Genomic DNA, 19,985 nt, shown 5'->3' with positions numbered 1-19,985 from the left:
CTGGGCCCCTTAACCAATCTTTCTTTGCCAGCCATGCAGTGTCAAGCTTTGTCAGAAGAGGTTGTGGAAAAGATACCTCAGGGAGAAGTTTTTCCTTCCTGCTTTCCTGCCCTCCCCTCCACGGCTCCTCTCTCACAGGCAGTGTCGCCAGCATGCGGCCATGTGCAGCTCCTTGGGGTGGCTTTGCAGGGGACCCCTCCAGAGACACCTTCGCCTCAGCTGTCCTCTGCCACAGAGCATCACGTGGTAGATTTCCAGCTAGTTGTAGAGGATATAGCTTTCCAGCACGTCCCTCAGGGCAGGTGTCCCTCAGTGTCTGCAGGGTGAGTTTCTGGCAAGCTCCTCCAGCACAGGGACTTCCCTGCCATTCAGCAAGACTCACTACCCCTCTCCACAGTGCCCAATCCTGCTCTAGGGAGCCACTCTCCAATGTCCACCTCAGTCCTAGGGGCCATGGCTGCTCCCCACATCTGCTACGGCCATACCCCTTCCGGCTATCTTTCTTTCCATTCGCTTGCTCCTCCCTTTCTTTATGGTAAATTTCTCCATGCAAATTACTGCATGAGTCATCTCCTGATTGGACTCAGACACTGCTTCTGTGTAAGATGCTTATGTATGACTGTAGCTGAGATAAAAAGTTGTGTGCAAAACCCTAAGAAATGCAGTGTGCATGCATGCTGCCACCGTAAGGTTGTGGTTAACATCCACAAAGTCATGAGGTATGTCCTTGCTGGGACTTCAGTTCTGGTGATGCTAGCTTTGGAAACGAATGTGCAGCAGCCTGCTGAGAGACCCCACAAAGGTAACGCTACTTTCACGTCCACGCAGACACACCTATGGAAGGCGGGGTTAGTCAGCTGCAAACCTTACTTGAGGTATTTGAGACTGGACACCAGGTACACGGGAATTCTTTTTCTCTTGAAAGTATCTTGAATTCTAAATTTCTAAGTATGAAAATATATACACTTATTTTCATTTTCAATCTACATTAATCAAATCACTGCTGGCTTTCAAACTCAATGCACTTTAGTGAACATGAAGTTTGTTTTATGTGTATTCAATTTTTTACAGAAGGAGTGGTGAGAAGCTTTTCAAAGAGTTATGAAGGAAATAAACTTAAGCATATTTGCGTGGACCATTAAGAAGCTCTGGCTACAGGGACTCAGTTGTTTCCATCTTTCTAGATAGCCGGCTGACACATGCAGCTAAAGAGACAATAATGCATTCGATCAAGATGCACAGAATATTGACATGTGCCTTCAGCGAGGCTCAAATTTTCCTATTATTCATTGAATATTTGCAATTGGAAGCCCTAGGCTGCATAGAAAACCTGGTGTGTTTCTAAAGTTGTTAGAGTCTCCGATAGTTTTAGACATATTACATTAAAAAAAAGAAAACTGAGCTGTGCAGAATGGACACTTAAGGACCAGAATGGATCTGAGCTTGTGGAGTGAACCATACAGATCATCAGAGAAAAGACCCCAATACACTTAGTCTCCTTAGAGGGGTTGGACAGGTGCCTGTGGTTGTATCAGGGTACCAAATTGCCTTTCCTGAAAAATGGGAATTGAGGGTAAACATGAAAAGCAAAGCTACAATAATTCTAATGCTCATTATATTATTGAACCATGTGACTAGGAAATGAGTGAAATTCTGAGAAAACTGGAATTTGAGGCTAGCAAATGGCCAGATGAGGTATTATTTTTCTAGAAGTCTTAGCTTGTAATGCAAACGCGTGCACTTACACACACACTCTGAGGAAATACTGTTGCATACTGGAGTTCCTTGCCTATCATAAAAAGCTTGTGACATCCCATCAATATCTAATTGTATTAGTTATTCTACAGGGGTTCCAGGAAAACTGATGGAGAGGACTCTCAAGTATTGATCAACGTCCTGAAATCCCGTCCTATTGTTTACTGAACTGGTCAATTATCATTGAATTTTTCATTTTGAGTTGAAATGGAAAATTAACAAAAATTAAGCAATTTTGTAAAACATGTTATCATGAATGGAAAAGAACTGAGGTTTTAGTGTCACACTACATACTCATAGCTTTTTGTCTAGACATATTATAAAATAAATACATGTCATTATTAACATATCAACTAGCCAAAATCATCTCCCACTACCCTTTTCTATCAAATGAAATAGAACAGAAACAATATTAATTTACCTGTTATCTTAGACTTATAATCTTCTCTCTCGAAGTCAGAATATTGAAAGTTATTAACTGTTAAGATCGCAACTATTATCTCATTGGTTTGATCATAAGCCAGATTTTAAAACATCTATTGACAAAAATTACATGTTAACTGTTTGAGTTTTTTAAAGAACTAACTATTTTTAATTAAATTAATTTTCTGGTCTTAAAGTAGAAAAATAGAGAATCCAACAGGTGGATTATTTTTTAGATAGGTAACAACATAAAGTAAAATCTCCTGTATGATATAAGCTAACAGTGGAAATGTCCAGATTTTAAAATATACATAACCCAGAAATGCCAAGATGTCATGGAGAAGAATTATGGGAAATCCAGAAAAAGCAGTTTCTACCTATGTCTCATGACTGAGCTTGACACACATTTTAGGTCTGGGAAGCAACAAATGTGTGTTTGTCGGGCCTACAGAATGCCTGTTGTGGTCTCCATGCCAGCTGAGAACACTGTGACAAATACAGATTAGAGCGATAGTAAATACATTTCACACACAATCGAGGGGTTACCTTAGTTGTTCACATCTAGACAATTGTCAGTTCTAGATACTGAATATGCATTCTGATTGGTCCATTTATGGATTTATGGAACAGAAAGTAACATTGAGGGGAGCAAAAATAAGTATGCCTAGGGTTTTTCAGGGGCAGTAAAATGTGCATTTGAGAAAAATCAGGCCTGTATTATTAGCAATTAACAAGGCAGGTTAAAGAGGCGAGTAGCAGATGGAGATCAGGCTGTAAAATGACCCCACCATCATGACCACATCACCAGACAATGCCACCATGACCACGCCATCAGGATTATGCCACCAAAACCATTCCACCATGGCCATTCCATCACAGCCATGCCACCACAGCGATGCCACCAGGACCATGACATCACAGCCATGCCACCGCAGCTATGCCACCAGGACATTGACATCACAGGGATCAACCACAGTGATGCCACCAGGACCAAGCCATCTCAGCCATGCCACCACAGTGATGCCACCAAGACCAAGCCATCACAGCCATGCCACCACACTGATGCCATCAGGACCAAGCCATCACAGCCATGCAACCACACCAATGCCACCAGGACCATGACACCACAGCCATGCCACCACAGCTATGCCACCAGGACCATGACATAATAGGGATGCCACCATAGCGATGCCACCAGGACCAAGCCATCTCAGCCATGCCATCACACCGATGCCACCAGGACCAAGCCATCATAGCCATGCCACCACAGCAATGCCACCAGGACCAAGCCATCACAGCCATGCCACCACAGCGATGCCACCAGGACCAAGCCATCACAGCCATGCCACCACACCAATGCCACGAGGACCATGACACCACAGCCATGCCACCACAGCGATGCCACCAGGACCATGACACCACAGCCATGCCACCACAGCAATGCCACCAGGACCATGACACCACAGCCATGCCCCCACACCAATGCCACCAGGACCATGACACCACAGCCACACCACCACAGCAATGCCACCAGGACCATGACACCACAGCCATGCCCCCACACCAATGCCACCAGGACCATGACACCACAGCCATGCCACCACAGCGATGCCACCAGGACCAAGCCATCACAGCCATGCCACCACAGCGATGCCACCAGGACCATGACACCACAGCCATGCCACCACAGCGATGCCACCAGGACCATGACACCACAGCACCATTACCACATCCTCATGACCACATCATCATAACTAGAGATAGAGAGATTGCTCAACCCATTAGGGAGCACAAATATCAAGGAGAGTCAGTTCTTTGATTTTGCTCCACATTATTTATAGAATGCAAGATGTCAAGAGCACGATTTACAGATAAAATCTCCTTTAGAACCTTTTTATTTCCTATGTAAATTTACCAAAATCACAGGAAAATGTGTTTGTCTTAATCTTAGAAACCTTTTGTCATTGCATCTTACCTTTTATCAAAAGTAACCTTTAAAAAAAAACATTGCCTACTGTGACCAAAAACAGTCAACAAAAAGAACAATCTTAATCGCTTTAAAGGAGTCCGATAGAGTTGTAATTTGCCTTATAAACCACGTCACTGTGCCAGAGATTTACAGCAACATGTGATCTTTAAATAGACTGTATATCACCTTCCTGATGGTCATGCAATTAAGGATCTGGACATGAGGAACAAGACACTGCCAAAAAATACTTCTCAAAAGGGAATTTGTAATGTCAGGGAAGATAAAAATAATTTAGAATTCAGGGCGACATGATTTTAATGCTAAATACTTTGTGAAGATTAAGCCCCCAAATGTCCTATCTAATGCATAGAGTCTTTACTCTGGGCAACATGGGTAGAATGAAAGGAGATTAAAAAAGAAAACATAAGAAAAAGAATTTAATTAGGCAAAGAGCAAGCATATCGTAGATTTAATGAAATAAGATTGTTCAACTTATTTTATAAATAAGTAGTTTTAACAGCAAAATGTGAAATGCCTATGTAAAACAAAACAATGCAGTCAAGGTACTCCTTGCAATCTCTACTCAACCAAATGTTTTGGTAATTTGAGGCATTAGATTCATTGACTGAAATTTTAAAATTTTATCCAGATACTGTGTCATATACATAGAAAAGCTAAGATTGCACTTGTTAGTGTCATGACAGGCCTCACCTTCTCCCACTGAGCTTATTCGGGGCCTCTTCATGAAAATTGAGCTCAGAGTATTTAACAAAGAAAACCAATTGCCCAGACCTACTTCTATTCCCAATATACTACTGATATGAAAGGATTCTTACATCTATTAAATATAGTACTTATAAAAACAGAACATAAACATTATGTGTGAAATTATTGGATTTTTATTTGTTTTTGTTCAGCTTCATGAGTTCAGGGTCAGTGTTTGTTTATTGCTTTATCCCTAAGCTTCTAACACCAAGACCAGAAAATGGTAGACATGGAAAGGAGGCTTGTGGAATAAATGAATAAATAATCTCCACACTATTTCTTCAAATATTTCAAATCTCACGTTGCCATGTTCCTCTTCCTTAATATATTATTATGATATATTATATGATACACTCTGAGTTGTATATATAAAACATGTGTTACGTATTGTTCATATGTAAATGCGTGTGTGTGTGTGTGTGTATGGATTTGTATGGATATACCTGTGTGCCTGTAAACATGTATAAATACTATATGTACAATATGTTATATATAGTTAAGTACATGTTGATAGGCTGACATGTATCTATGCATGTATATGTGTATATATAGTGTATTATACATATAATTTATTATTCTCAGGACATGAACACAATTTTTATTTTTAGTTTTTATTTTGCACACGGGCTAAAGAATATGCCTTTGCAAACTACAGGTATAGGAGTAGTTATGAGGCAAAGAGTCTGAAGAAGAGCCTGATGGCATGTGTGCCCCTTGCTCTCACTTTTCTATCCATATCTGTTGCTCCTTTTCTGTACACCAGGCGCTGTGTTAGGCTCCAAGGATTAAAGCAACAGTAACAAAACCCATACTCACTTCTGCATTGGCTGCGATTCTTCCGCACGTTTAACCATTAACTTCTCTTTTGGTTAAAAAAGCTGCATTTTTATACAGATCAACCACATAAGAATTCACTTTGTTACTATTGAAATTATTTTGTTTAGTTAGAGCCTTTTTTTTTTCATTAAGCTCCAGTAAGTAAATCTAGGACCTATAATTTTTAGGAGCCAAAACATATTCCATCTTGACTGTAATTGCATCTGGTAAAACTATGGTGCCTGGTATGTATCTTTGAAAGGAGTAGTGAATCCAGGAATAAATGTCCTTTTCAGATGCGATCATTGGGACAGAATGAAAAATACGATATTCCAGAGGTCAGAACACTGGAAGGTTTTGGGGCTCTCCTGACTTCCTTTATAATGTTCTTTACTGTCATTCAGTCTGTTCCAAGGAAGGTTTGAGATATTTTGCTTTAAAATTGTTTGCTTCTCCATTTCCCGTGTATCAAGGAACTGATGGCACCGATAGATACGTAGAAGTTAGAAGGAAGGAGGCCAGGGGAGCAAGAGGGCTGCTGCCGGGAGCACCATGGCGACCACCTTTCCCAGTGTGAGGCCTGCGAGGAAACGGACGTGTGCTGGGAGGCTCTGCCTTTTATGAGACACGCCACCTGGGCAACTGACCTATCTTACATCAATATCATCTGACTGGTCAGTTTGCTTTAGGTGAAAAATAATTTCTACTTGGATTTAATTAATAATAGTGCAAAACTTTGAAATTTAAATATTTGAATACATAAAAATTTAAAACACAATTAAAATTCAAAAGTAATGTGCACAGTTAAAATATATCACAGTAATATATTTAGGTGACTATTTTAATAGTAGCTATCTTGCCCTCAATTGGGTCTAAGAAACACATACTCTGCATTAAAGAACAATTTTAGATCTATATTTTTCCACTTACTTTATTTAGGTATAGAGCATATTTTAACCAAAAACATGTCTCTTTTTCAAGGAACTTTTATTTGTAGCACATACATCTTTGAATTTTTATGAACATAATTTTTGAAAAATTCTTTCATATAGAACTACTTCCCAAAGAATATATATTATTTTTGTCGAACACTAAAAATTAGGTTGAGGATTTCAAGAACGCAACTCTGATATGATTGAAAACAAATGTGGGTTATGTTAGCTTAGTTACTCAGCGATAATGATATAACAAATGCTGGATTTTTATCCTGGCTGAACACTTACTGGATATTTGAAATATGAAAATTAAGATATGAGTATAAATAGAATTTCATAAAATTGTGATTTTTATTGAATAGCATAACTTACCTGCTGCCTACTTAGGCTAACAGAAATTAGACCCCTACATTAAGTCCTGTTTTGATGATTAAATAAGTGTTATGGAATATGTCATAGACGTAACTGTGCAATTTTCTGGGAGCCATCGTGTATGTACAATGATGCTTCCTGAGAAAACCACACGGACTTTAATTTCTGCCGTCTCCAAAGGAAGGTGCCGTTCCAGCGGTCTACACCGGTGCAATGCTGCCACCAGATGGTAGAGATCACTACACAGGCCTGGCTGATGTGTTTTCAGAAAGACTCAGTGAATTTCTGACATAAAAGGGATATTTTAAATCCAAGGATCCTACCATGTACACCCACTCCCATTTGCGTGTTCACACTCCTTGCCTTCAACAAAGAAAATACTCGAGACATTAAAAGCTTTCCCTGTATGTAACAGAACAGGAGAAGGGCAGCATTTTAGTGCTTTCAGGTGTTTACTCTGTGTGTGTGGATAATGTTAACAATTTATTGAATGAAAACAGTAGAAGCTTAAAATCGTGAACACGTCAGCTGCTCCTAAACTGGCACTAAAATGGGTTTCTAGGAAAATTCAACATTCAGAGATCGACTGGACCGCCGCCGGCAGGAACTTAGTGTAGACGCTGTGAGTGAAGACAGCAACAGCAAAGATGTCCTTAATTAGGACCGAAATAAATTCTGATTTGTAACATAGAATATACCTAGGAAATCACTGTAGAAATTTCCTTCTTTATCCACTGTCAAGTTAGTTAAAACGTGCTTTCAGCTTGAAGAATGTTGACGCATAAGTGCTGGAATTCCTTCGGTAGGACTGAAACCTTTTGTGTTTCAAAGCAGATTACATTGTTCAAGCCAGAAGATGAAATGACTCCAGTTACTCTGTCCTCATTCACTGAAGATTTTAAAATAATATTTAATAAAGATGTCCAATAATTTGTTAGTGCAACGATAACCTAACCCTCTTTAAAAAAAAAAAACAGTAATAAAACAAATCTTGAGAGACTGTTTTCCTTCGAGTTCGCAAAATTTATTTCAGTGTAGAACTATCAACTTTTCACAGTTAAGAACCTCATTCATTAACTCTTTAATATGAACGATTTGCCTTTTATTACTTAGTGACAAAGTTCAAAAACATATCAATCACTGTGAACTTAGACTTGGGAGATCTTTTAGAAAATTGAACAAATACAAATAGTGTTAGGATAGAAAGTATATCTTTCAATGGTCAGAGCCTTACAAGGAGGTTAAATATTACTAGAAAAATAAGAATGTAGGTATATATATATATATTATTGATATATGATTATTTAAATACATCATTTTACATTTAGCCTTTCTCCTCATAAATATTTTGAATGTTCTAGTCAAAAATATAATATTCAAGACATTAAAATTGGTGACGAAGTATTTACAAATATTTTATTATAATTATGTGTTTCTATAGATATGTAGTAGCTTCAATACTACCTTAAAATTTATTTAAATAAATATATTTGGCTGTATATTTGCACAATCGTATGTGTTGTATTTATTCTTATGAAAGAATTATTAAATCATTTTAATGAATGGTATGTCTTTAAACCTTTCTGCTTAGATATCAGAGATTATCATTGTCGTATTGAAGTGCAGCGTTACTGAATAAGAAAGTGTACTCTCTCAAAGGAAGGTTACGTTGTCAGTTAGGATGGACAACAGAATAAGTATTTTTCTGCAACAAAAAGGGACTATAAATCAAGTTATTCTTAGCCTGTGATTAGTTCTGTCCTTCATTCTGAATTTCTTTTCTTGTGTGGATTCGAGTCAACCCATAATGTTATTTTAATTTAGTTTTTTGTATGTAATACATGCTCCCGTCAGGTAAATGAACTTGTCATGATTGAATTCAATAGATTATAATGACCCTTTATCTGCATTGCTGAGCGTTAGCTCATAGTAGGCAGGACTGGCTTAAGCGGCTCCAGATCAGGAATGAGTTCTAATTGAAAGTCTTCATCAATCTTTAATGACAGCATTATTATCATTGTTGAATGTGCTCTTCCAGTTGCTTTCCCCCTTTTAGAGAAATTTTTAGCAGCTTCACTGATGCTTGTGAGGGTTCAGGAAATGGCAATATCTGAGTTTCCTATTGTCAAACAGCCGTGACAGAACCCAGGTGGCCGCTCTTGACCCATTCCTTCTGGCGGTGCTCACCTCGGACCTTGTTCTGTAGGGACAGATCCAGCGCCAGTGCTTAAGAAAAGCCTCTGAGGAGAGCTGCTTGGGGCAAGTGGTGTGATACTGTGGTAGAGCTCACAATAGAGCAAAATGGGCCAGTGAAGTGACTATTTACAAAATGTTGATCAAAAACAGCACAGATTTGAAAATGCATCCACAGGTGACAGTGTTCAACTCAGAACGAGCATTTGCTCAGTTTGATCTTTAATTCTAATTTTTAATAAAACCTTCAGATGTTAGAAAGTAATTAATGTTAATAAATGTGCAGGTGTTTATAGAGTCATACATGTGTGTATTTGAGTCATGTATGCACACATACACACACATACGTATTTGCATATTTATGGCTGACTGGACTGATATTTTTAGCTAGGTAATGTTTCTTTGATTTTAAGTGAAGACTAAAGAAAATTCTCTTATTAAATTTTGCTAGAAGTGTGTCACAGGTCCCAAACCCTTTTCTAGTACACACCTATCATTCATTGCTTACATGAAGATATAGTCCAGTGCTGCTGTTGAAGTGGCCATTTCCTTTGTATTTGCAAATTGAAGCACTTTTAAAAATCTTTAGTTTGCACTTCACTGTTTCCAACATTTGGCCACAATAAATATTTCCAAAAGCCCTACTATTGTGTGCTGCATTGTGAATAATTTATGCAACAAGGAGGCAGGGATTTTAATTGATAGCGATTAGTGAACTTTCTAAATCTGTAAAACTTCAACAGGCTTAAGCTTCCAATAAATGCCAGTGTCTATTTTTATGCCCCAGCCCCTATTTAACGGAAAGCCTAGTGCATCAGCCTGCAGCTGCTGGTGCTGCAAATGCCAAAAAGGGGCTTTTGTTCCACCCACCGTGCTGTGGGAGGGCCATTCTACACAAGCATTGGGAAGCTGCTGTTTGCATTTTCTTTTTGATCTTCTTACGATGGGGTGGAGAAGTTGTTGCTGGGCTTTTGTTTTTGTTTACAGAATGATATTCTGGTGACTCTCGGTTTCCTATCACCAGGGTTGATACCTAGATGGAGTGGAGGGAAGTCAGGCTGTCACGGAGGGCACAATATTATGTCGACGGAGTGCACTCGCTTAAACAGCAAGCTTGAAATGTAATAAGGAACAGCAGATTATCAAAGACCATCTCCGTGTAGTGCACTAGACTCTGGGAGGACTGAGCACTGCAGAGAGGGAATGTGGTGAGCTGAACTGGTTCCCAAAGAGCTTTCTTTGACAATGGTCAATTCCTTCTCTATTTTTACATTTTATTTTGTATTTAAAAGTGTGCATACTCTTGAGTTTCAAATTCTTTTAGTGGAAATTAGCAATACATTTTCACAGACATGCCTTGATATGATAAAGTTATTAATCATGTAAAAATTATTAAGAAAATCTCAAAATTTGACTTGGGTTAAAGAATAAACGTACATTTATAGGAAGTCAAGTTTTGAGGAAGTCATTTCTTATACTTTAACCCATGGTCAAATTTTGAGACTTTTTAATACTTTTTGAAAGTATAAAAAAGGAACAGAGCCCTGTTCTCAAAATTTGAGGAAGTCATTTTTTATACTTTACCCCATGTTTTCAAACTTTATTTATAAATATGAAAAATAAATAATCCATAGTTAGATTGCTAATGAGAAGAGGAAGTTTACCCATTTTGATTTTAAACATGTTCAGAAAACAATGCAATCAGGGATCATGGATTTCCTATTATTATTATTATTATTAATTTGAATAAAAATATTCATACATTTGAAAAATCACAATGCAAGTTAGTCAAGTAGAAGGCCGTCCTGAAGACCTTCCATTGGGGTATAAGTTTTCTGTGCATTTGGTGCTATTTTTCTTTTCAAAAGATAAACAGAGTTGCTTCTCTGGTTCTCAAAGCACTCAACATTTTTGTTTCTGCTCTTCCAACGTGATTATTGTTTGAGACAATTTAAAGATGTAAACTATACCGTCTCTGTTCAGACTGCAAATGTGAGAAAGAGTAAAGTAAAAGAGGGAGGCACACATTTTGAGGAGTTTTAAACTGTGACTCTTCTTAGGTTGAATATCATTATGCAAATAAGTTAGTTGTTTGTGAAAATTCAGTGCCATTATGCAAATGAGCTAGATGCTTGTGTAAATTCAGTGTTGTTATGTAAATGAGTTAGGTGTTTGTGTAAATTCAGTGTTGTTATGTAAATGAGTTAAGTGTGTAAATTCAGTGTCATTATGTAAATGACTTAGGCATTTGTGTAAATTTGATATCATTATGTAAATGAGTTAGCTGTGTAAATTCAGCATCATTATGTAAATGAGCTAGCTGTGTAAATTCAGTGTCATGTAAATGAGTTAGGTGTTTGTGTAAATTCAGTGTTGTATGTAAATAAGTGTGTAAATTCAGCATCATTATGTAAATGAGTTAGGTGTTTGTGTAAATTCAGTGCTGATTATTTCCACTGCCCTCTTCCAGTCCCTTGGGATCAGTCAGAGCTTCCCCAGGAGTCCAGGTTCTTTCTCCAGTCTCTCCCCACACATCTGTCCCTGCCGGTGTAGGAGACCTGATGGACGTCCTGTCCCCTGCACTCCATTGCATGGGGCTAAGGAGAAGCAGGCTGCAGCAGGTGCAAGATAAAAGCTTGGCCACTGAGGGCTCACAGTCTAGGACAGCTCCCTGCCATCACTCCACCAGCTGCCACAACGTGGGCAGCACCCAGGGATGGGAGCTAAGACCTCCTCCTCACTGCTCTCTCTTCCCAGTCACTGTTTGGAAGGCCTGGCTCCTAGCATCCTGCCTTAATTCTCACTTCACACTCACATCCACACTTAAGATCTGATGACAGTCTGTTCATTCCAGCACTGGCTCTCAGCTTGCCCCAGTTCATACTTCAGAAGGCGTTTATCTGTGGCTGGCTGTGTTCACCCTTCCTCAGCTTCAGGCAGGCAGACTCCCCACAGAAAGACCCTTAAAACCCACAGCCTGGCCGGTCCACCTGCTTGGTCCTAAATTGGGCTCATAAGTCCATCCACAATCTTAAACTCAAGCGTTCCTGTCTTTGATCACAGCCTCCTTAATTAACTCATCTTATGAATTGACTGTTTTCACTGTGATCTCAAATCACTTAATCCAGCTCACTTCACCCAGCCTATTAGCCTGTTTGTAGTTACATTTGACTTTCAGAGATAAAGGATATATAAGTGCTTTATACACTTTAAAACATTCAGTAAAACTAGCTGATTCTTCATCAATCAGATATTGTAATGAAGTCCTTAAATAATATCCCAGATAAGGCCCTGGACTCTTGGGCCCACTTGATTATTGTCCTGGTGTTGAATCAATGCGCCAACAACTAACATCCTAACGACTTGGCTACACTCAGCATCACTTCTCCGTTCTTGATCTGGACCACACTGCACAAAACAACCTGCTGATGAGATCACCATGCACAGTGGTTTTTTGATTCACCTCTTTAAAAATTCTCTTATTCCAAGGAGCATTCCCAGCTTCCAGCACTAAGCTCTGGCACATAGTCGTTCTTCATGGAACATCTGTTAGTGAGAATGCTTTTCCTCCAAGCCCTCATGTCAGCCCACGTGCACTCACCCTTGGTGTAGGTGCCTATCTACCCTGCAGAGATGAACGAGGGTGTCCACACTAACCAGCCATGATCATCCCACTATCCATGTTAAGGCAAGTCTATGCATCACTTAGACTATTTCATTCTTTACTCAGCCTGGGTGAAATAATATTTATTTCAAAGGACAACATAAAGGACCTCCTCAGCATGCTTTCTCTCTCAAGCAATCCATGTGATGTTGAGCAGCTCTGCCTCCCGTTCTCTCTCTTCATCTTTCCCCACTTTGTGTTTGTGTCCAAAGTTCTATGTCTTGCAGACTAAGGGGAAAAGCACGGGAAACATATTTTTTGGTTCCTATTGATCCTTGCTGCTGGTGGCCAATGTCCTCTCCTCTTTTGACAAACAGTTGTGTTTAACAAAAGGGTCTTGTCCGTTGCTTCCATTTCTATACAACAGCCAACAACTGTCCTTCATTTCCTTCCATCTGGCTTTTGGTCTTCCTATTAAAATTTCCTCCGGGAGGCCATTAGAAAACACAACTCCAGGTTATTAACATCATCCTCAATCCCTGTGAGGACTCCGTAGCCCTTGGTTTTTCAGGGCTCTTTCCTGTTGCAGGCATCTCCACGCAGAGCAAGCTCATTCCTGGATTCTAGGGCATCTCCACGCAGAGCAAGCTCATTCTTGGATTCTAGGGCATCTCCACGCAGAGCAAGCTCATTCCTGGAGTCTAGGGCCCTAACTGCTCCCTTGCATCCTCCTCCTCCAAAGAATGTTCCTCAAAGTTCGTTTACTTGCACACTTTTCTCTTTTCAGGAGATAAATTATTTATCCTGAAGATTTAAGGTATCACCTCAATGCAAACGAGTAGCAAGTCAAGGTTCTCATTCTAACAACTTTTCAGATCTCAAGATGAGAAGCTTCAGTCCACAGTAGGACATTGCCTCTTAAACACAGCCTCAGTGATCAGAAGTGAATTATCTCTTGCCAGAACTTCCAGCTCCTTTTTCCAATGTCATTTCAGAAAAGCTTTCAACTTCCCACCAGTTAAACAGGCTGAAAGTCTTCATCGTCTCTCACTCATTTCTTTCCTATGGTCTTCCTTCTCCACTGATCACTGAGACGACTGTTTCTTCGTGTTTTCTGCGTGCCTTTTCCTTTCTACGGGGTCTATGATCAACCATGTTTCTTCTTTTATAAATCCCTAACTGTGCTATTAGAATAGCATCTTAACTATTATCCTAGTGCATCCTAAAGATCACTGGAAATTAATCTCTTTTACATTCATGACCATGCAAGAAACCTGGCTCGAAAACTTGTGAAGTTCTAAGTTTTTATGGGAAAAAATGTATAAGTCTCTGAGCTCAGGACAGAAGGTCCTCCACAAAGCGTTCACCGTTATCTCTCATTATTACTTCCTCTCAAATCAGTTTACTTTTCTCCCAGAATAGACATAGCTCAGGGGTGTCTCTTTCTTTTGCTCCAGATGCCCTTCTACCTGCTCAGAAGTCCTGAATGTCCTTTTTTTTTTTTTTTTTTTACCTGAGATGGAGTCTCGCTCTGTCACCAGGTTGGAGTGCAGTGGCACAATCTCAGCTCACTGCAACCTCCACCTCCTGGGTTCACACCATTCTCCTGCCTCAACCTCCCAAGTAGCTGGCACTACAGGTGCGTGCCACTATGCCCAGCTAATTTTTGTATTTTTAGTAGAGACGGGGTTTCACAATGTTGGCCAGGATGGTCTCGATCTCCTAACATCGTGATCCGCCCGCCTCGGCCTCTCAAAGTGCTAGGATTACAGGCGTGAGCCACCGCGCCCGGCCCTGAATGTCTTTTTACCAAACAGTACCCTCCACTGGCATGGATCTTCTCCGTGAAACGTGCCCTGGTCATTTAACTAACAGCAATTTCTGTCGGTAATCTATGAATTACCTAAATCACTCTTTTGCCATCCAGTGGTTTATTGTTAGCTTTTTGGCTACTTAGCTGTTCTATTTTTAGTTTAAAAATATAGTATGATTCAATCCAGGTGGATCTGGGTTTGAATTATGACTCTGACTTTTTTTTATGTTTATGAAGCTGAATAACTGATTTGACCCCATGTGGTCCCCTTTCCAAATCTACAGTGACAGAGATCATTACTTCACAGCACTGTGGAAGGATGAGCCAAGGCTGTATCAACATCACATGCAAAGACTTTGATTACATAGTATGTGCTTATTAAAGTTGAGTTTCTTTCCCTTCTTTAAGGACTGACACCTAGGGCTGGCTTCCTTTTCTCTGTATCCATATCTCCTAGACCTAGCATCATGCCTGCTTGTTAATAAATGTGTAGCATAGATAATTATGAGTAGAATCCAAAGGAATTACGTTTCTGCAGGTGTGTCGGTCTAGATGCCTTTTTCCAAATGAGGCACTTAAGAACTCTACTGGAGGAAACAACACACACACACACACACACACACACACACAAGTTTAATGCATTTATGATGAACAGAATATTATCTAATATCATCAAATTTCTTTTATTCAAGCGGGTCTTTAGAATATCATGAGATTTATAGAGCGATGCTAATATTTATAATTTAAAAGTTACAAAATGTTTTTTGAAAAGGCAAAAACAAAATAGCTTTTAAAAAATGGAGAATTTAGTCTTAAGGTAAATTTCTATTCATGATTTTAAAAATTTTTGCCTTATTTGGTAATGGCATAACTTGAATCCATTTTCTTAAAGATGTTTAATACATGTATTCTTCCAAATTAATATATTTCTGTAAAGAGCTATTAATTATATGCACAGATTTGATGTCTTTAATTTGGGTACTATTTTTCATCTTTCATTATTGAAGCATCAAAGTCCATTTAAGTTTCTCATAACCCCATCCAATTATCTTAAATAGCAGTTCTTAGATCATGTTGTTGCCAATGAAGAGAAAAGTAATCTAGTCTACATTTTATTGAGATGGTAATTTTACATATACATTATATTTTAATATAACCACCTCCCAAACTACATGTATGACTCCTTTCACTGTAACATAATTGAGTCTTGACACAATAGTGCCCAGGCCTCCAGCAGGAACTCATGTCCGCAGTAGCACCTGCCCCAGAGGGCATGGACCATTTCCTCACCGACAGTCTGATTAACTTTTGTACATTCGTTGAGACATTATTATGACGACCTGCTTTTGTAGATTCATATAATTTTATCAGATCGATAGAGTCATGAAAAACTAGAGTTGGAACAGACCTTTTAAACAACTTTGTCCAATTCCCTCACTCTACTGATGAGAAGCCTGAAGTCTAGGGAAGGTGAAACATCTTGCCTAAGAGAACTCTATTTTCATGAATACATTCTATCTTTCTCCTCTAGTTACTTGAGAGCAGGAGCTGTGGAAGATTATCCCCACAGGACCTCATGAAAGTCTCAGCAATTCGATGGAAACATTTTCAAGTCAGCGTTAAAGGATTTAAAAGAACACATCAAATAGGTTACTGTACAAATCTTGGCCACAATGCGCCAATTTGAGAAAAGAATATTTATCCAGCTTGTGTTATTAGTAAAACTATCTGTATATAATGAACATACAGTGGATTTTAACCAAAGATCTAAATTCTGTTTCTTTTACCCCTAAGAAGTCCATAGATCAATTTCATGATTTGTATGGATCCCTGAAATTATATTTGAATTTCCTGTGTGTGTGTGTGTGTGTGTGTGTGTGTGTGTGTGTGTGCATTTTGCAGAAAGGGTCTGTTGTTGACAGGGTGTGTGAGCCAGTAATAATCCAGGATGATCTGATGATGAACGCCCTTCTAGGGAGGAGAGGGCGCTTTCACACCAGCAGAACTGCTCCTTCTCTAGGCCCCACTGCAGCAGAGCTTGCCGATCCCACCCACTATGGCCACGGCAAAGCCACGAGTGCTGTTTGGGGTTGTCGAGGCTGGGATGGTGCTAAAAACAATCTCAATCAAAAGATAAGGGAAGTGTGGCGGATTCCAGAGGAAGAAATCCGATAAAATTAAAGTGTAATAGACACTTCAAACTGTGTGATCTGACCTAATAAGTTATTAATAGGGAACCATTACTCCTCATACATTTTTTATTAGGAAGGCATTGCCTTTTTGTCAAGATTAGTGGATTATAAAATATTTGTGCTACACAATATAAATGACCCTACCTATTAATAAGTCTCTAGAAAGATATGCTTAAATTGAATTACATTAGGAAGACAAGTGACAACAGAAAATTAGGCATAATTAATGGGAACACATAAATAAACCAGATATGGAGGGAAAAGGACATTCTTCCCATTGATCATTTTGAGAATTAATTGCCGATATATTCTAATGACATAGCTACTATTACTGTTTGCATAAGGGCAGTTTTATAGAAGATGAAATTCATGTGACTATGAATATGTATTATAATTTATAGCTGGGAGATAACTAGGTTGATCACATGTCTCTAATTAGTGGACATAATTTTGAAGAGCTAAAAGCTACCACTTAAAACACAATATTGCAATGAGGGCTCATTAAAATTTGTTTCACTGGAGCAGAATTGGTCGTTTCCCTGTGAATCGAATGGTAGCTGTTACCAGTAAGCTTGAAGGAAAACGACACAGAGTCCCTGCTGAATGTGGTGGTGCAGTCTATGTCACTTTATTATTTTCCATGGGCCAGAGCCAGCAATCCACTTAGGGCTGGGATACCTCAGAGATACAGGAAATTATTTTTCACATCTCATTCACATAATGCGCAATGTGAATTGAGTTACACAGTGGACAAGCTTCCTGCATCATCTCCATTTGCAAACATGTATAAGGTTTCCACTGATATCGCAGCCCCCTCCAAGTAAACACTGCCCCGACCCTGTTTCAGGAAGCTTTGGACATGAAGGATTCACTATGTGTCACCATTTTAGATTTGAATCTTTGCTGCTGTAACATGCTGATTTTATAATTACGTATGTTATTTTTTGTCTGCTTCAAGTAGTCAGCACCATACATTCTATTTTTCCTTTTGCTCACAGTAAGCAAGTCTAATTAAAAAATGCTCAACATTCAATTTAAAATAATTGCCAATGCAAAAATAATAAAGCTAATCAACCTCTTACTTGCTAATCCATATTATTAATCCAGAATAAATGCATTAAAGCAATGTTCAGGGCCAGGCAGAGCACAACATGGGCAATAGAGTGGTGGAGCCCTGACTTCCACCTGGGCTGCCTCCCGGGAGGTGCTGTCTTGCAGGGGCTAGGCCTGTGGCTTGCAAATGTGTCACACGCTGAGAGGTTTTCACACGGATACCCTTAATTGTGTGTTTGTGTGGAGCTTCCTGCCTCTTTTTCTTTGTGGTTTAGGAGAAGGCGTGTTTTAATAATAGTTTGAGAATGGTTGACTCAATAGAAGAGAATTCCTTCTGCATGCTAGCACCATTATCACTAAACTAAGAGAGCAGGTACTTGATGCCGGGAAATGCATTCTCTTCACTTGCTTGCTTGCTCCCTCCCTCGGAACACTGCCCTGTGACACTATGGATGGGCAAGGTCACTCTGAAATAAAGAAGCTGGGAGCCTTTTCTGAAGTTGGGGGACAGAATAGCACACTTGGGATGAAGGTTTGTGAAAAAGATGGTTATCGATGCTTCAGAGACAGCCAACACTTTGTATTCTAGTGTGATTTGCTTGCTTTTCTTGACCATAGTAGCATTACCTTTTTAATTTATATACGTATATGTATGTATTATTTTTTATCTTAACCTTTAGATTGTTATATTTTTATTCAATGATCCTGGAAAATGTACCAACATTGAATTTACCAATAGGAAAGCCAAAATGCAAATACATTCATGCACAGGCATGGGATCTCCTGGAAGACGCTTGGAAATGTGGAAAAAGGAGTTGTTTCCTGACCAGAATTACAGCCCTGACTTTGTTATCAGGGAGGTGGCCCCAGAAAATGTTCTCCTGTCTCTGACCTCATTCCGATTACATGTGAAGTGAGGAGGTTGGTGCAACAATCATAGTCTGTTCTAGAACTGGGCTTATTTAACTTTGATTACTGCTGTAAGTGTTCTTGGAGGAGTGAACAAGGGAAACACAGACATGCATTGCCACTAGTAGCCCACGCGAGGAGGTCAGAATATACACATGTGTACGGATGTGCGCTGGGAAGGGGGAGCAAATGTTCTAGTCAGCTGTGAACAATCAGGTGTGCCTGGGAGCCTGTGCCTCCCACACTATGAGGGGCATCCTGGTGTGGCAAGACCAGTCTACAGGGAGCTCTCTGTCCCAACACGGCCATGCCTGCTGCTCTTTCCTTTTCCCGTAACTAACTCTGCACCCATCCTCCTGCAGCTGGCCGCCCGCTCTGTGCACATGTGCTCATCCGTGTGCCGGCTCTTGTGCGGGCCAGGAAGGCATCCCACACCCCTCCAGGTGGCCTGCCGAGCTGGGCTTCGTAACTTCAGTAAACACAGGGTAGAGGCTCCTCTTCCTCTGTGAGGGCAATGTCTTGAGAGCAAAGGAGATGCATTCACACACGTAGACTAGAACATCACAAGCTGCACTGACCCATTGGAATCCACTCTTGGGCATAGCTGTGACCGATGTTTCCATGATTCTGTGCCAGTGTTAGCTTTATGCTTGAGGGAGTTTAATTACAATTTGGAAAAATCATGAAAATTTGGAGTCGTCAACATTGTAGATCATCATCATCATCATCAATAAGTACATTTCTGAGTCTATCTCAGGCTTGCTGTGAGTCCAGTTTCGTGCTTCCTTGGGGCGGCAGGAGAAGGGAGGTTGTTGCTGCTGGGTGGAACGGGCTGGAACCTGCAGCTCCAGGAAGGCCAGGAAAGACATGGAATGCCATCCACAGGATCAGGTACAGATAGGTGGCCATGAGGTTAGGGTTAGGGTTAGGGTGGCCACAAGGCCAACTTATCTGTGGAACTGGAAAACCTTAAAAGGCCCTGGAAGTTCACTCTGTGAAAGATAGCTACTATTCCTTTAATATCCTAAACACATGATCTACTTATTAACAGAAAACTGGATTCTAAGCCATTTAGAAGCCATGCTCAAATCATGATTGAACAACCCCCCCCCAACATTTTCTAAATTGCATCCATATTGTTCTTCTTATGTATTTCTTTCTACTTTCTTAGGCATTTTAGGAGGCG

The 19,985-nt window shown here is 39.8% G+C and overlaps 3 annotated features.

The window, feature by feature from the left end:
* Positions 585-785: a silencer, noted in NCBI's record as "peak3188 fragment used in MPRA reporter construct". NCBI's record gives its function as "represses an SCP1 promoter by STARR-seq MPRAs in K562 erythroleukemia cells {active_cell/tissue: K562}" and the evidence as "EXISTENCE:reporter gene assay evidence [ECO:0000049][PMID:32103011]".
* Positions 9,795-10,509: an enhancer, noted in NCBI's record as "NANOG hESC enhancer chr18:75474392-75475106 (GRCh37/hg19 assembly coordinates)". NCBI's record gives its function as "activates a minimal SCP1, AML or CMV promoter by ChIP-STARR-seq in naive H9 embryonic stem cells {active_cell/tissue: H9 hESC(naive)}" and the evidence as "EXISTENCE:reporter gene assay evidence [ECO:0000049][PMID:30033119]".
* Positions 19,117-19,669: an enhancer, noted in NCBI's record as "H3K4me1 hESC enhancer chr18:75465232-75465784 (GRCh37/hg19 assembly coordinates)". NCBI's record gives its function as "activates a minimal SCP1, AML or CMV promoter by ChIP-STARR-seq in naive H9 embryonic stem cells {active_cell/tissue: H9 hESC(naive)}" and the evidence as "EXISTENCE:reporter gene assay evidence [ECO:0000049][PMID:30033119]".

The sequence above is a fragment of the Homo sapiens genome, chromosome 18 (assembly GCF_000001405.40).
Source record: "Homo sapiens chromosome 18, GRCh38.p14 Primary Assembly".
In the NCBI taxonomy this organism is placed as follows: Eukaryota; Metazoa; Chordata; class Mammalia; order Primates; family Hominidae; genus Homo; species Homo sapiens.
This window is presented reverse-complemented; position numbering and strand designations above follow the sequence as displayed.